The following is a 16,370-nucleotide window of genomic DNA, read 5'->3' as shown; positions in this document are numbered from 1 at the left end:
CTGGTCCAGCCAAAGCCTTATAGTGAGCTAGCACTCATGCTGGCACCTGGAGCTGCCTGTCCCAGCTGCAGCAGCTGGTGTGCCTAACTGTGTTAAAATATATTGAACAATATGAACTTCCACTCACCAAGCCTGACTTGATTGCTCAGTCTACCAGTAGCAGAGGACAATATTGAGCCCCTGATATGGTGACATTCCCTGGAGTAATCGGCTGGCTGCCTGGGGGCAGGCTGATTACATGGTATGAATTTCATCATGGAAGTAGCAGCATTTTGTTCTTATAGGAACAGACACTTACTTTGAATACGGATTGCCTTCCCTGCATGCAGTGCCTCTTCCCAAACTACCATAAGAGACTTACGAATGCCTTATACACTATCACAGTGTATCACACACCATTGCGTGTGATCAAATAAGTCACTTCCTAGCAATAGATGTCAGCAATGGGCCCACGCTTATGATCCAATGGTCTTACCATGTTCCGCATGACTCTGAAGCAATTGGATTGATAGAATGGTGGAATAGCCTGTTAAAAACTCTGCTGCAGCACCAGCTAGGTGGCAATGTCTTGCAGAATTGGGACAAATTCTCCAGAAGGCTGTATATGCTCTGAATCAGCATTCAATATATGGTGCTGTTTTTACCATAGCAGAATTCATGGCTCCAGGAATGAAGGAGTGTAAATGAGAGTGACAGAGTTCACTATTACTTACCTGTAGTGACTCAGTAGCAAGATGGTTGCTTCCTGTTTTCATGACTTTATCATATAATATGAGATGTACTGAATTTGTTTCATAGTATTTACGTAATCCTAATTTTACATCATAGTATTTAAGTTAGGGGATATCAAGAAGAGTAAACATTACTCAATGACTTTGCTTCCTCTTTCTGGGAAGGGATTAGTGCAATTTTTGGTGTATACAGGATAGTTGTATCCTGTCAGGCAGAATTATGACCTTGCTATTGTGTTTATTTGAAAATTAAATATGGTTTTAAAAGATACATATAGGTGCCACATTGACACAGAATAAACTTATAATAGCTAGTTTTATGTGTTGGCTTGACTAGGCCATGGAGTGCTCAGATATGGAAACAAATACTATTGAGTGTATCTGCAAGGATGTTCTAGATGAGATTGATATTTAAGTTCATAGAGTGAGTAAAGCAGATTGTTCTCTCTAAAGTAGGTAGGCCTTATCCAGTCAATTGAAGACCTGAATAGCACAAAACGGTTGATTAAGGGAGGACTCCTCTTGCCTGGCTTCCTGAGCTGGGCCATTGGTCTTTTCTTGCTTTTATATTCAAATGGAAACATGGATTTTCTCGGGTATTGAGCTTGCCAGCCTTTGGACTGAAGCTTACACTATCAGGTCTGGTTCTCATGCCTTTGGACTCAAACTAGAACTAAATTTCAGCTTTTCTGTGTCTCCAGCTTACCAATTGCAGATATTGAAACTTATCAGCCTCCATAATATGTGAGCCAATTTCTTGTAATCTCTCTTTCTCTCTCTCTCCCTCTCTCTCTCTCTCTCAATATTGAGAGCAGTATACACAGCTAAGATAGTCATGGAATGGACATGATGACTCTATTACTCAATGTTATCTAGAGAAACATACGATGAGCAAGAAAGGATAAGAAATTGGCTCACACCATCCTTATAGAGGCTGAGAAGTCTCAATATCTGTAGTTGGCAAGCTGGAGACACAGGAGAGATTAAATGTAGTTCCAGTTTGAGTCCAAAGGCATGAGAACCAGGAGAGCTGGTAGAGTAAGATTCAGTCCAAAAGCTGGCAGGCTCAATACCCAAAAAAGACAATGTTTCTATTTGAAACATTGAAAAGGAATCCTCTCTTAATCAACTTTATTTGTGCTATTCACCTCTTCAATTGATTGGAAAGGGCTACCTACACTAGAGAGAACAATCTGCTTTCCTCACTCCATGAATTTAAATATTAATCTTATCTAGAACATCCTTGCAGATACACTTAATATCATTTGTCAGCATATCTGGGTACCCATAGCCTAGTCAAATCAACACATAAAATTAGCTATTATAAGTTCATCCCCTGTCAACCTGGCAGCCATGTGTCTCCTAAAACCATACTTAATTGTCAATTAAAGAAAATAGCAAGGTCATAATTCTGCCTGATGTGATACAACTATCCTGTGGCAACCAAAAATGCACTAACCCCTTCCCTAGAAGAGGAAGCAAAGTCCTTGAGTGGATGAGGGCTGCCTACTTTGAATATACATGGATGTGTATAAATACACATTTTTTTCTGTTCCTCTAGATAACCTTGACTAATACAATCATCATGTTCATTCCCTGACTATCTTAGCTGAAACAGAGACTACCAGTCAGTACTCTTATTGCCCCCGATTTGTTTATTGAATGTACTTGCTAAAATCCAAAAAATACAAATTTACTTATTGTCTACATCAAATATAATGCAATCACTATGGGAGTAAGTACTTTGTATCTCTTTTTACATCACAGAATAGATTGCATAACATAAAAGTGATGCTCAACAATTACTTGTTAACCTAGTTTTGATTAAAACATTCTGTAGAGTTCAAAAGGTTCTATTTTTGCATATATGTTCCCTTTGTTTTTATAAATAAATAAATTATATTAACTTAAAAATAATGGATATAATGGCTTTGAAAATTCTGAGACTCACCAGATGGCAAATGATGCTGAAATGAATAAATAGCTTTCAAGCAAAGATAGAATCCAGGGCACTGCCAGGAAAGTATGGTCCAAAATTGTAGCCAAAAAGATAACTGTAAAATTTTCCATATGTTGCAGGAAGATCAAAGGTTGTGCTTTGGAATGCCATTTAGTTAGACATACGGTCCTCTAAAATATAAAGTATATGATATACAGATAACTCAATCGAACAATGGAACCTGCAGGAAGCTCACAGCATTGCTCTGCAGCCTCCTCAACAAAAGTTCAAGAAAGAGAAGGGCATGTTTCTGAAAGTATTACTGAGTTACCCTTTGTGTATGAGTGAATCTTAGTAAGATTCATAGTAAACCTACAAAAATTTGAAGGTAAATTACATATGTAAAAATATTGATAATTTAAACTGAATAAGCCAGATTCATTTTAAAGTGGGCCACCCAAGTTTCTTTAAGCAGATAGCAGGCTGAGTAAACTACTCAGAGTTAAATATGTTCTAACTTTTATGAAAAAGTAGGCTATTTCAAAGGATAGGACTGAGACCAGACGGTGGAATCAAGAAATAGCCATTGATTGGTAGGAATAGGATTAAATTCCCCTCAAAAAAAAAGAAAAAATTAACATTTTCCCAGCTAGATTTCAGAACTCTCATTGACTGCTGACTTCTGTATGTCTCCCTTTTTCCTCTATTAAGTCCGAGTGCCTATGATGATTATTCTATGCCTGTCTCATCATTTTATGATAGATGTGTGAAAGATAGGTAAGTTGTTTCTTTAGTTTCAAAGGTCTTCAAATCAAGACAAACTGTACTCAAGGAGTTGTATTTGCAGCTAGACCTGATTTAAATGACAAGATTCTAGACTTCAAACTAATGCTGTGATGAGATGAAGCTTTGGTAGACTTAGGATACAATTAGTGAGGTGTGTGCATTACTTGGAGCCAGAGAGCAGTCTACAGTAACCGGTCTGTATCTATCTGCCTATTTATCTGTGTCTCTACAAGTGCATAAATGTGTGTGTGGTGTGTGGAGGGGAGTGTATGTATATGTGTGCTTATAAGTTCATGGATGAATTACAAAGCTTTCATATGTGCATTTCAGTTTACTCAGAAGTTAGCAAATTTATTTTTGGACATTTTAACCTCTGTATTACTATGAAAAGATCCACATTTCCATTTTCATGTAATCTCTTTCTTTCTCCCTCTGTCACACACACACACACACATACACACACACACACACACACCCCACACTCCAAACAATTCTTCATTTGTGTAGATTTGTGTATTACCCTCTTCTTGGTTTTGTGTCTCTAAATTATTTACTTAAATATTAAGTTAGTTAATTTAATTGTGTTCCCCCTCTATAATTTCCATATACGGTTTACCTTTGAACCATATAGGTTTGAACTGCATGGGTTCACAGATACAAGGATTTTCTTCTGCCTCTGCCATCCCTGAGACAGCAAGATCAATCCCTCCTCTTCTTGTGCCTCAGCCTACTCAACATGAAGATGATGAGGATGAAGACCTTTATGATGATCCGTTTCCACTCAGTGAATAGTGAAGATCTTGTAATTCTCTTAATAACATTTTCTCTCACTTTCTTTATTGTGAGAATGCAGTGTATAATACATATAACATGCATGACATATGTTAATTGTATATGTTATTGGAAAGGCTTCTGATCAACAGTAGGCTATTATTATATTACCAGCAGTTAAAGTCAAAAGTGATACAGTGATTTTTGACTTCATAGAGGTCAGCACCCTAACCACTGTGTTGTTCAAGGGTTAACTGAAAACGCACTGGATTGCATGAGCATAAGATAATAATGAGACCTTAACTACTTTCCAGCTGAGGTAGGGGAATTTAAATTCTGCATAATATCTGCTGTCAATAGATTTGCCCAGTAAAGTTTTGTATCAAATAAGTTCTAAGTCTTATTTCACATTTTTATCTCAGTTTCTAAATCTGCCATTATTACGTTGGATTTAGGAGCAAAATCCATTATAAAAAACCTGTTCTAACAAGAAGACTGTTTTTTGGTAGTCTCTTAAACTTCATATTGGGTGAAGATTATGCTCCTTGAGGATAAGATTCATACTGTAACAATTTTCTATATCCTCCACAATGTTTTGCAGATTCAATAACTATTTAATGAATTAAGTTAAATTTACCTATACTCTTACAAGTCTTTCTCTCATAAATAACCTTCTAATCCGCAATTCCTCTAAAACATACAAAAAATTGCCAATATAAAAAAGCAAGAAAGAAGGTGTTAACCATTTTGTCATTCAAAATATGACTCATTCTTTCTTATACAACTACCTTTGTCAGCATTCTTGCCATTGGACTGTCTAGCCTTTGACACTGTTATATCATGGCTTGTCGTTAGAGAAGGTAAAGTTTGGAAAAAAGAAGCAGTTACGTAAAGCAATGTTAGAAAATCCTTGAGTTTCCCTTAGAATTTTGTGTCTTCTACGTGTTTTCTATTTCACATAGATTAAGTTTGCAGAGTTGTGTCATAATTTCATGAGTGTATCTGTCAAAGAGCCCTTTGAAGGCCTATTTAATCCAACTAAGACCATTTTTTCTTGTTTTAATACCATTAAACTTGTTCTCTCTTTGATAACTGAGGGAAAAGAGAAAGACATTCCATATAATACATCAGATGCCTAAGTGCTTTGGATAGTCATAAGCCTTTTCTCCTATAGCTTCCTAATTAGAAATGCCTGCTCTGCGGAGTTTTCTTAAGTTTTCCAACTTGCTCCTTCCATTTTATAATAGTCTATTGAGGAAGACTATTATCAAATAAAAATCAGAATGATCACTGGACACCTATTTTAGCCTTGGGATTTATATCACAATTCCCTAAGACTTCATATTTCCAGAAAAGAAATTCAAACTAAAGCTCACAATTACTATTATTATGGTAATCCTGATAAGATGTACATTTTAACTAAAAGAAGTTCCCACTATTTTTTTTCTTTCTACTTTTCAATAATCCTTGGGACCTTAGTAGGAGTGTGCAATAGTCTTGTGGTGTATTTTTAGTTTAAAAGTCTATCTGATTACCACTTGGTAGATATTGTCCAAACTCACTTTTGAATCCAAGTGTTTTTACCCTTATATAATTTTTTTAAAAGAGTATTTGCTTGTTTCTATTATACTATAACTATTGGAGCTACTAGGAGGCCTTTTAAATTTCAACAACAAATAGGCAGAATGGAGACTAACTGAAGGGTTGATGGGCTTAAAGAAAATAAATAACCTAACAAAGGCTAATGGCAAAACCAACATTAGAAACCAAGTCACTTTACTTGGGATTAGTGGATACCAAAATGTGCTTTCTCGGAAGCAGCACTTTACAAGGAAACATGAAAATCCACCTTTGTTGTCCTTCAGCTAAAGGGAATAAAATCGTGTACTTTCTGTAATTTTAACCTTGTTATAACAGATGCTACAGAAACTCAAGTGGAACTCTGACTGCCTTGAGAGCTGAATAAAATGCATCCCACCATCCATTGCTGCTGCATCAAGGTATTAAAAAGAGAGACAGAAGGAAGAGGCGAGAGAGGCACAAGTTCAACAGTGTGAGGGACTTGGACACAATGGGAGGGAGAAAGAAATAAATGTCTAAATGTCATGGAAAGAACAGACAATGAAGGCATATGTAAGAGGCCTGCTAAAGCTATGGGACCTCAGAAGCCTATTTGTAAGAACTACAATTTAGAATAAGGAACTTGCAATACAATGCCTGACCTTCATTTCCTTACGTGCCTCAATCTTGTCAAAACCTTTGATTGATTTTTGTATGAACATGAATTACTGCTACAATACTCAGTTGAACTACATGAATTTCTCAAAGCAGTAATACAGTGCTATAGCGTAGCTTAACATTGTTTAAGTAATATGGTTTGCTTATATTTAAGTCATTTCTAAGGGACCCATGCAAACACAGTCAGGAGATCTATTTCTGATGTATTTCCAAGGCTAAAAACAAAAAATGCTGTTAATGCATAAACAGTCAAAAAGCTACACATTGTGGTTTTACAGGGACTTCTATTTCTAAAGATGATGGTTGCATGAGGGCCTCTGCCTTTATAAGGGAAATGTGTAGATTTTAACTAGCTCTGTATTATAATGTTTGTGTTTTGAAAAAGAAAAGCATGTTTCTGCACTAAAAAATAAATTCCTAATCAAACCTTTAAAGTTAACATTTAGAACAGGGACAGAAATTTCTATTGTTTCCTAAGTGTTTTGTTGCTGTTGCTGTTTAGATTTAAATCATTTTTTAGAAGTTTTACTGAGGCATAATTGATATAAAAAATTGTACACCTTTAATATATTCACTTGGATGAGTTTGGACATGTGTGCATACACCAATACCATCATCACAACCAAGGTACTGAACATACTTATTCACCTCCAAAAATTTTCTTTTGTTCTTTTTTAATGGTGGTAGTATATTTTTAAGAATTCAGCCTTTGAGCAGGGTATGAAGGACCTTCAACAACAAATGCAAAAGTAAATGAGCTAAGTTCATATAAAGGGTTAGCTCTCAGTGAGATATTCAAGTTATGATCATATCCTCAAGAGGCTTGTAAACTGACTGTGGGTTTCCAGTTTGGTTATTCACAGATAGGCCTTCATTTGCTCATTCACCTATTCATTCATATAGCCACTCATTCATTCTCAAGAAGAGGTATTTGTCCATATCTCACCATGTGGATGAGCAGATGGTCAGTTCTCACTTCTTTTGCCATTAAGTGTGCTCACCGTTGAGCTCCAGGATGGTATTTTCTCTCACTTTGCGTCATTACCAAAGTGGCTATCAAGATTCCCTCCCCTACCTTCTTTTTCTTTTTTCAATGTTTAAGAGCTGGAGTTAATTTCTTGACTCCTTTGGTAACACATGCCGATATATACCACTCAAGGCCTGTTGGATTAAACTGTTAAATTTGTCATCTAGCTAATGTTTTCTCAGAACCAGACAAATTAAACAGAGTCAATTGTTGAAATTATTTCAAAAGATAAACAATCATAGAATGGAAATAAACTACAGAAAGTAGGGAACAGGAGTAACTAAGTCTCCTAGAAAACATTTGCAGCAGATGTTAAGTATCCAGTCTCGTTGTTATAAATGAATTTCAAAGAATCTCATGAGGAGCAGCTTTACAAAATTTTACTGCACTAACAAATGGCAGCCAACATCTGTAGTAAACACAAAATACTGTACCATCCTTTGTATCTCCTTAAATTAAGCCAATTTCTGCTTACACAGAAAATCTGTCTGTGGAAAACACTGCTTAGAATTTGAAAGCACATTAATCTGGAAGCCACAACAGAAGTGTGCTTCAGAAAACTTCTTAATGTTTTTCTTGTGAGTTATTCTCTTTACGCTTTTCACATTACAATATTACCAAGTTATCATAATGTATTTTCTGCACTCCCAGAGCAAGATAAGACTCTAGTTGTTGCTGGGAACTATACATTGTCTAAATATGGGTTCACATTCTCTCACAGTGATTCTGGAATCATACACACAAATGAGATCACTGCTGTCACATCACTGGAATTAAGACAACCTCTCTACTCACTGGCCATGTAAATATAGATACAGTACTCAAATCCTCTGAGGCTTAGCTAATTATTGGTTGATTTGGTCTACACTTACCACATTAACTATTTGAAAAGATTCATTGATATAACATGTACTAAGAACAGTTCCTGACTCATAATCATTATTAAGGCAATATTTACCAATATGTGACATTAAAATAGATACTACTATTAGATAATAATTCATACTATACATTCAATATTTAAGCAACAGAATTATAATTTTGTGAAGTAAATTTTGTACTCAAATAGAAAATCTAATTCTATAATTATTTTCTGCAATATTGGGTCATAGAACCAACAAAGAATATATGACTAGCTTAGACGTATGTATTTACTTATGTGATTAGTAATAAAATTCTTCACTCATTCCTAGGTTTGAATCCCAGATGCTCTGTGTAGCAGCTGTATAGTCTTAGACGAGTTGCTTAATCTGTCTGTACCTCGATTTCCTCATTTGTACTCCAATTTTCTTATGTGGTAAATATAAAATTACTTAACTCAGAGCTATGAGGTCAGTTTTATTTGAGAGAATCCAGAAAAAAAAAAAACTTAACACACATTTCCTACCATTCGGCATGCATAATACGTACTCAAGGAAATTTTAGATCTCTGTACATGATTAATATATTAAATCCTCAAACCGACTATAAGGTCTGAAAATGCATGTCTTTATGTCACTGTACCTCTCATTGCACTTGGCACAGTGTTGTGAATATATTTGTCATTTGTATGTTCTTTCTACCATACAATTCTGCCACTCCAATTAGCATATTGTGTTGGAAAACAATTGAGTGCTTGCCTTATGTTTTACTAAATTTATATGGAACTACGTTGACACTTCCTTGCCCTTAAGATGCTGGGACTCACTGGTTGCTTTCTAGTTCTCAGGAGTCTCTATGTGACTCTGTCCTTTACACTTGCCCTGCAACATCACCCTCAGCCCTAGACAAAGCCAACATCATTTTTAAAAACCTGCAAATATGTCTGCAATTCACTGTATGAATATTCTCATTCTATCAAAACCCTGACCTCACTAACTCAATGGAGCAATATAGGATGATAAAGTAGTTTATATGAAAGTCATAGAAAGTTTGCTTTGTTTATTCACCCAAAGGTATGTTTTTAAAGGATGAGGCTTTTATCTGAAATAAATAAAATTATAATTTGAAATTTCAAATAATGTGACTAATAGATTATGAATTCATTTCCAAATATAGAAATAATTAAAATACTTGGGGGTATAGAAAAAGTGAGTGCTGTATCTATTCTTTTATTATATTAATTTTACCCTAGCTGCCAGAATTTAGTACTTTTAACATCAACTGAGAGATTTAAGGCTATTGTAATTTTCCTATTTTGATTTTCCTCTTCTATTTATAACTCAAAGTAATTTGATAATATACACTGTGATGTGTCCCCATGTATCAAACATTTAAAAAATATATTTGGAACCAAAGCAAAGATACATATTTTTTTTTAATTTAATTTTTTTTTTTGAGATGTCACCCAGGCTGGAGCGCAGTGGTGCAATCTCTGCTCACTGCAAGCTCCCCCTCCTGGGCTCACGCCATTCTCCTGCCTCAGCCTCCCAAGTAGCTGGGACTACAGGCGCACGCCGCCATGCCCGGCTAATTTTTTGTATTTTTGGTAGAGACGGGGTTTCACCGTGTTAGCCAGGATGGTTTCAATCTCCTGACCTTGTGATCCGCCCGCCTCGGCCTCCCAAAGTGCTGGGATTACAGGCGTGAGCCACCGCGCCTGGCGCAAAGATATGTTTTACTAATACCACAGAGGTATAATCTGCTGCTATTTCTTGATCAGAAGTAAACAAGTGTCTTCACAGCAGTTGATCTAATTTTCTTCCCCATTCATTCAATGGTATTTTTTGATTATTATAGAATATATTGAATTAGATAATGATAAGTCCTTTTTCTTTTTTTTTCAGAAATGGCTTCTCTCTGTTACTGAGGCTGGATTGCAGTGGCATTATCTCGACTCACTGCAGCCTCTGCCTCCTGGGCTCAAGGAATCCTTCGACCTCAGCCTCCCGAGTAGCTGGGACTACAAGTGAGCACCACCATGTCCACCTATATAATTTTTGTATTTTTTTTTTTTTTTGTAGAGACAGGGTTTCACTGTGTTGCCTAGGTTGGTCTCAATCTCCTGGGTTCACACCATCCTCCTCCCTCATCATCCCAAAATTCTGGGATTACAGGTGTAAGCCACTGCACCCAGCTGAGAAGGCTTTTTATTATAGGTTGTTCTTATTGTTTTATTTAGTTGGTTTTCAAGGTAAGTTTGACATATAAGGTGGTATAATGTTTAAAGGTCAAGTTATAGAGATAGCTAGATTGAAGTTCAAATCCAGAGCCAAGTTACTTAGACTCTCTAAGGACTTGTTTTTTCCCTTATAAAATTAAAATAAAGTGGATAGCCACTTCATAGGTTTGTAATAAGAATTAATATGATCATGATGTCACAGAGTTGCAAAGAGATACTGAAACTTGGCTCTGCCAAAAAATATTAGCTATTGCCATTATGATTGTTCTCCTTAATACCTAAGGCATTTGCTGACAATCAGGTTACTCATCATGTCCTTCCAGGAAAAAAACTTTAAGAATGTTGAAAACTTAGGAACTACTTTTAAAATTTAATTTTCAGACCTGACATAACACAGCTGAGGAAGAGAGGTGGTAGCTGATTGGGGATAGATGTAGAGATCATTAATGGTATAAGAGTGTGAGAATGTGAAGCAGGATAGGATATGATATTACTCATACAGATCACAAATACATGTCAAAATTATATTTATCATTCATTTAAGTAAAATTCAACATTGTTTTCTTCAAAGAAGAAATTGCGCATTTCACTCTACCTATTTAACTCTGGAAAATTTTACAAACTGAGCATGCCATTTTTTAGTATGAATTCCTTTATTTCAGCTGCCCTGCTAACTTTGCATGATGAGCAGAAAAAAATGAAACAGAATGGTTAGTTCTGGAATATGAAAAAGTGTCCAAGAAGAGGAGTAGTCTTGAGAAGTAGGGAACAGGATGAAGTCACTAGGGGACAGAAGGGTAGGAGGGAGTGGGACCAGACAAACACTGAGCTCTGCATGCACACGTAACAGTCTAAAATAGTCATCCAGCACGCAGACTCTAGGTCAAGATAACCAAGATGAATTGCAACTTCTCCACAAGCAACATGACTTTGGGTAAGGTATTTAACTTTTCTGAGTCTTAGTTTCTTCAACTGATAAATAAAAATGATGGTCATATCTACTTCATAAAATTGTGATAACTGATTAATACATGTAATGAATAGTGTTTGGCATTTAGCTTAATAATAAGACATTTCATTAAAATATTAGCTACTTTTGTTAGCTAGCAACTCTCAATTTTGCCTAAAGCTGACCCCATATCTAGGGTTAGGTTTTGAAAGAAGTTCATCACCATCAGAACTAGGTCTGGAAATTATAAAGGAAAGCTTAAAAAAAAACCAGAAATATGTGCAACACCTATTTACAAAGAATCCACTGGGAAACCCCCATTGAGCCCAGGTAGATGGCACATGTCCCCTTTGGGCATGTAACTCAGTTCCCTGAGGGTCAGTATATTGTCTTTGTTTCAAAGGTCCCAAGGCAAACTTTTTAATAATTGTGATCCCACTCAATAGTCATGTTCACTTACTTTGTGGGTACATTTGTGGCATATTTTAAAATGTGAAGTTGAGTGCATTTCACTTAAAAACCAAAGGCATGTAATGACAACATGCTATAGAGGAAAAATTATTGATTTGTGTAAATAGGCAGATCTTGTTTGTATTCTAGCTCCATCACTTACTAATTTTGTGATATGGGCAATTTATATCCTATCTGAGCCTGTGTTTCCTCTACAATATGAGATAATTTCTACTTTGAAGTACTGTTATGAGGGTTAAATATAAATTACTTTCTGGTTTATGATGTTGGTATATACTATTTCCATGCATGATAGTTATTTTTATGAATAAGATTTTAACAGTAAGCCATAGAAAAATACAATGTAAGACTGATTCTTAGAATCTATCAAAACAGGTTGTAAAAATGACTTAAACATCTAGCATGGCAGTGACTAACATTTTGAAAAGCTTAATTTTTCCATTGAGAACTGTAGCCCAACACAGTGTCTGTGCCTCAGTGTTCCTCATCAGGAAGGATAATATCTGTGATGCATGGACTAACTCTAATGAAAATTTTTATTCTTAAGACACAAGATATTTCCCAGCACAGTACATAAGGTCTTTGTGCTCATGTCAGCATTGGAGATAAATTTCTGGGAAAGAAGTAGAGAAACCGCTCATTTCTATAGACATCAAAACACCAAAGTAAAAGTGAAAATAAAGGTACGCTGCAGACTTTTTTTTAAATGCCTAAACTAAAAAGTATACCTATCAGGAAACATCCAACTCACAAATTACTTTAAATATGTTTTTAAAACAGTGTGCTTGTTTTATAACCACAGATTCATGCTATTTACCTGATATTCCCAGGTGGTTGCTTTGTGGGGCTCAGTGCCATCCTTGGAGCAATAAAAAGCATTTCTTCTACACCAGTAAAAAACTGGCTACTTCTCACATAAACCTTGGAGGGCTTCCCTCAGTGGGCTTAGTGATCAGCAAATCATGTCAAATAACCCTTTTGGTTATTTTTGACATAATAGTGTTCCTAGCAGGCAGTACTCAAGAATTCCCAGATTCTTAGCTTTAAATTCAATATACTCTCTTGTATTAAAAGTCAAGCTATTTATCCACAGTAGTTCTTAGGTCCACGTTTCATTTTACACATATATGTGGATGTAACAGCTTTTTCCTTAGAACTTTTTAAAAAAATGGAATTCAGTAAAAGTCCTATATTTGTATTTTCTATGTGCCAAGAACAGATAACCATCATTAATGTGAGCCAAATTTGAATTGAGGAGCTGAAATTAGGAGGAATTGAAAAACACCTGAAATAAATCTTCAAGTAATGAAGGGGAAAGTTTACTTTAGAATTAGTGTATCAAAAATGAGAAAATTGGCTGGGTGCAGTGGCTCACGCCTGTAATCCCAGCTCTTTGGGAGGCTGAGGCATGTAGATCACCTGAGGTCAGGAGTTTGAGACTTGCCTGGCCAACATGGTGAAACCCTGTCTCTACTAAAAACACAAAAATTAGCCGGGCATGATGGCACATGCCTGTGGTCCCAGCTACCCGGGAGGCTGAGGCAGGAGAATTGCTTGAACCACGGAGGCAGAGGTTGCAGTGAGCCGAGATCACGCCACTGCACTCCAACCTGGGTGACAGAGTGAGACTCCTTAAAAATAAATAAATAAATAATAAATAAACAAATAAATAATTTAAAAAAGTCATTGCTTTATTTTTAAAAAAGTAATAGTTTCAAAATGTATACATGTAAAATCTAACTGGGAATACTTTGTACCTACTTGTAGCCCAAGATTAAGTTTATTCTCAATTATTAGGAGGTTTGCACAATAGAGTACATATTTAATCTGTATGACTAAAAGCCTCATTGTCAATGTGACTGTGTCATCATTATCACATTTGTGAATCTCCTGATTATAACTTTCACAGATGGTCTATGAACAGGGTTCTGGGATAAGAAACTTGTTGTCTGTCTACAGAGGAAGCTGTTTTCACTTCCAGATAGTTCTGAATATTTGAAAGTACTTGCTGATTCAGAGTCAAATTATGTCTTGCTGTAACATCCACAATTTCTGAACTTACATTTGAGATAAACCAAGATTAGACTAAACCATGCCTTCAAGTGACAGACTCTCAAAAATGTGATGCATTTTTTTTCAAAAAAAACTGCACGTCCAGGATACTCTACCCGGAGAAAAACATAGCTCTCATTAACCTTGTCCAGACATTAAACTTATAAGAGAAAATCATTATTTTCCTTGTAGCCAAATTATTCCGCTAAATTGTTTTTAGGCAGGATTAATAAACCTTTACTGTAAAGGGAAAGAGGCTAAGATCTTAGGTTTTGTGGGCCATATAATCTCTATACAACTATTCAACTCTGCTGTTGCAGTGAGAAAGCATTTATAGACGATACACAAATGAATGAGTGTGTCCATGCTGCAATAAAACTTTATTTACAAAACCAGTCTATTGGCTGGATATGGCTTGCAGGCCATACTTTGCCAACCCTTGGTTTACAGCCTGGCTAGCTAAACACTGCTTGTTGTAGTAAAATCTTGCTTTTTAAAACATATGTCTCTCATCCTAGCATTGTCATTACATGTGTGTGGTTTATTGTTGAATATGTAATATTTAAGGATCTTTCCTATTTAGTTTTATTGACTAAAAGCTGTTTCATAATTATAATACACAGACATCTATATAGGTTTTTATTTTATCATTCAACCTATTAGCTAATCCTTAGAGTTGTTTCAATTTTCATGTGTTTGACAGATGAACATGTCTAAAACACTGATGAAAATGTTACCAGAATATAAACAAAAATGAATTTTTCCGGTTAAAACCATTTTACTTGTTAGTAATATGTAACTATTAACCATTAAATAATTTACCAAATTATTCCATTACGTAATCCATATTGCTCCTTCTTGTCCACAAGAATATAGTAAGGTACATTATCAAATACATACCTCTGACTTTAGTGGGCATTTAATGTATTATTAGAGGATCCCAATATCTGTCTTTCTTAAGAAAATTAAACTCATCCCTAGTGATTATACACTTTCTTCATCTAACACTATAATATTAATAACATTTGAAAAAATAATGTCTAATAATTAACACTAGATTTAGAGTATTTTTAGACAATTTTCTAAAATTATCTGAAAAATTTGACCAGAATCATTGTAAAATTCACATCTGAGCTTATGAAAGCCCACTTTATTCCACTCTAAAAGAACAAAATTTTGTACTTTTAATTTTATCTTTTAAAATGTTTTAACATAAAGGTAGTGGGAGACGTTACTAAAGGAAGCTTAGGTAGTAACGTATTTGTCGTCTCAGTTAACACAAAGACCATAGATGGGGCAGATCTGCAGGATGCAAAAACTTTCCTTTTTCTCACCTCATAGTAGTCATATGGCTACTGCAATTCTCTGGTTTCATGTGCTTACAAAATGTCCTTTAGTTAAAAATAAAAAGAAAGAGAAAGAGAAAGACAAAGAAAGAAAAAGAAAGAGAAAGAAGAAGAAAAGAGAAAAAATAATTTCTTCATGTGTCTATTTAAATTAACAAAGACGTGAATTGTCCCAGACCTCCCTGTGATGATTAATTTCATGTGTCAGTTTTACTGGGCTAAGGGTTGCCCACATGGCTGATAAAACATTATTTCTGAGTATGTCTGTGTTTCCAGAGAAATTAGCATTTGAATAGGTAGACTGAGTGAAGAGGATCATCCTCACCAATATCTATGGGCATCCTTCAATCTCTTCAGAGCCCAAATAAAACAAAAAGGCAGAGGAAGGGTGAATTTAATCTGTCTTCTTGAGCTGGGACATCCATCTTCTCTTATCCTCCAATATTGGAACACCTGGTCTATGTTGGTAGGAGTGTAAATTAGTTCATCATAACCTTGTTGGCACTAGGGACCAGTTTCATGGAAGACAGTTTTTTCATGGACCGTGGTGTAGGGAAGATGGTTTTGGGATGATTCAAGCACACTACATTTATTTATTTATTTATATTATTATTATTTTTGAGATGAAATCTCACTCTTGTCACCCAGGCTGGAGTGCAGTGGCGCAATCTAGGCTCACTGCAATCTCCGCCTCCCAGGTTCAAGCAATTCTCCTGCCTCAGCCTCCCAAGTAACTGGGATTACAGGCACCTGCCACCACACCTGGCTACGTTTTGTATTTTCAGTAGAGATGGGGTTTCACCACGTTGGCTAGGCTGGTCTCAAACTCCTGACCTCAGGTGATCCACCTGCCTTGGTCTTCCAAAGTGCTGGGATTACAAGTGTGAGCAACCATGCCTGGCACAGGCACATTACATTTATTGTGCACTTTATTTCTATTATTATTACATTGTAATATAT

The sequence above is a fragment of the Homo sapiens genome, chromosome 10, assembly GCF_000001405.40.
Source record: "Homo sapiens chromosome 10, GRCh38.p14 Primary Assembly".
Lineage (NCBI taxonomy): Eukaryota > Metazoa > Chordata > Mammalia > Primates > Hominidae > Homo > Homo sapiens.
The sequence above is the reverse complement of the archived record's forward strand: the minus strand, read 5'-3'. Positions refer to the sequence as shown.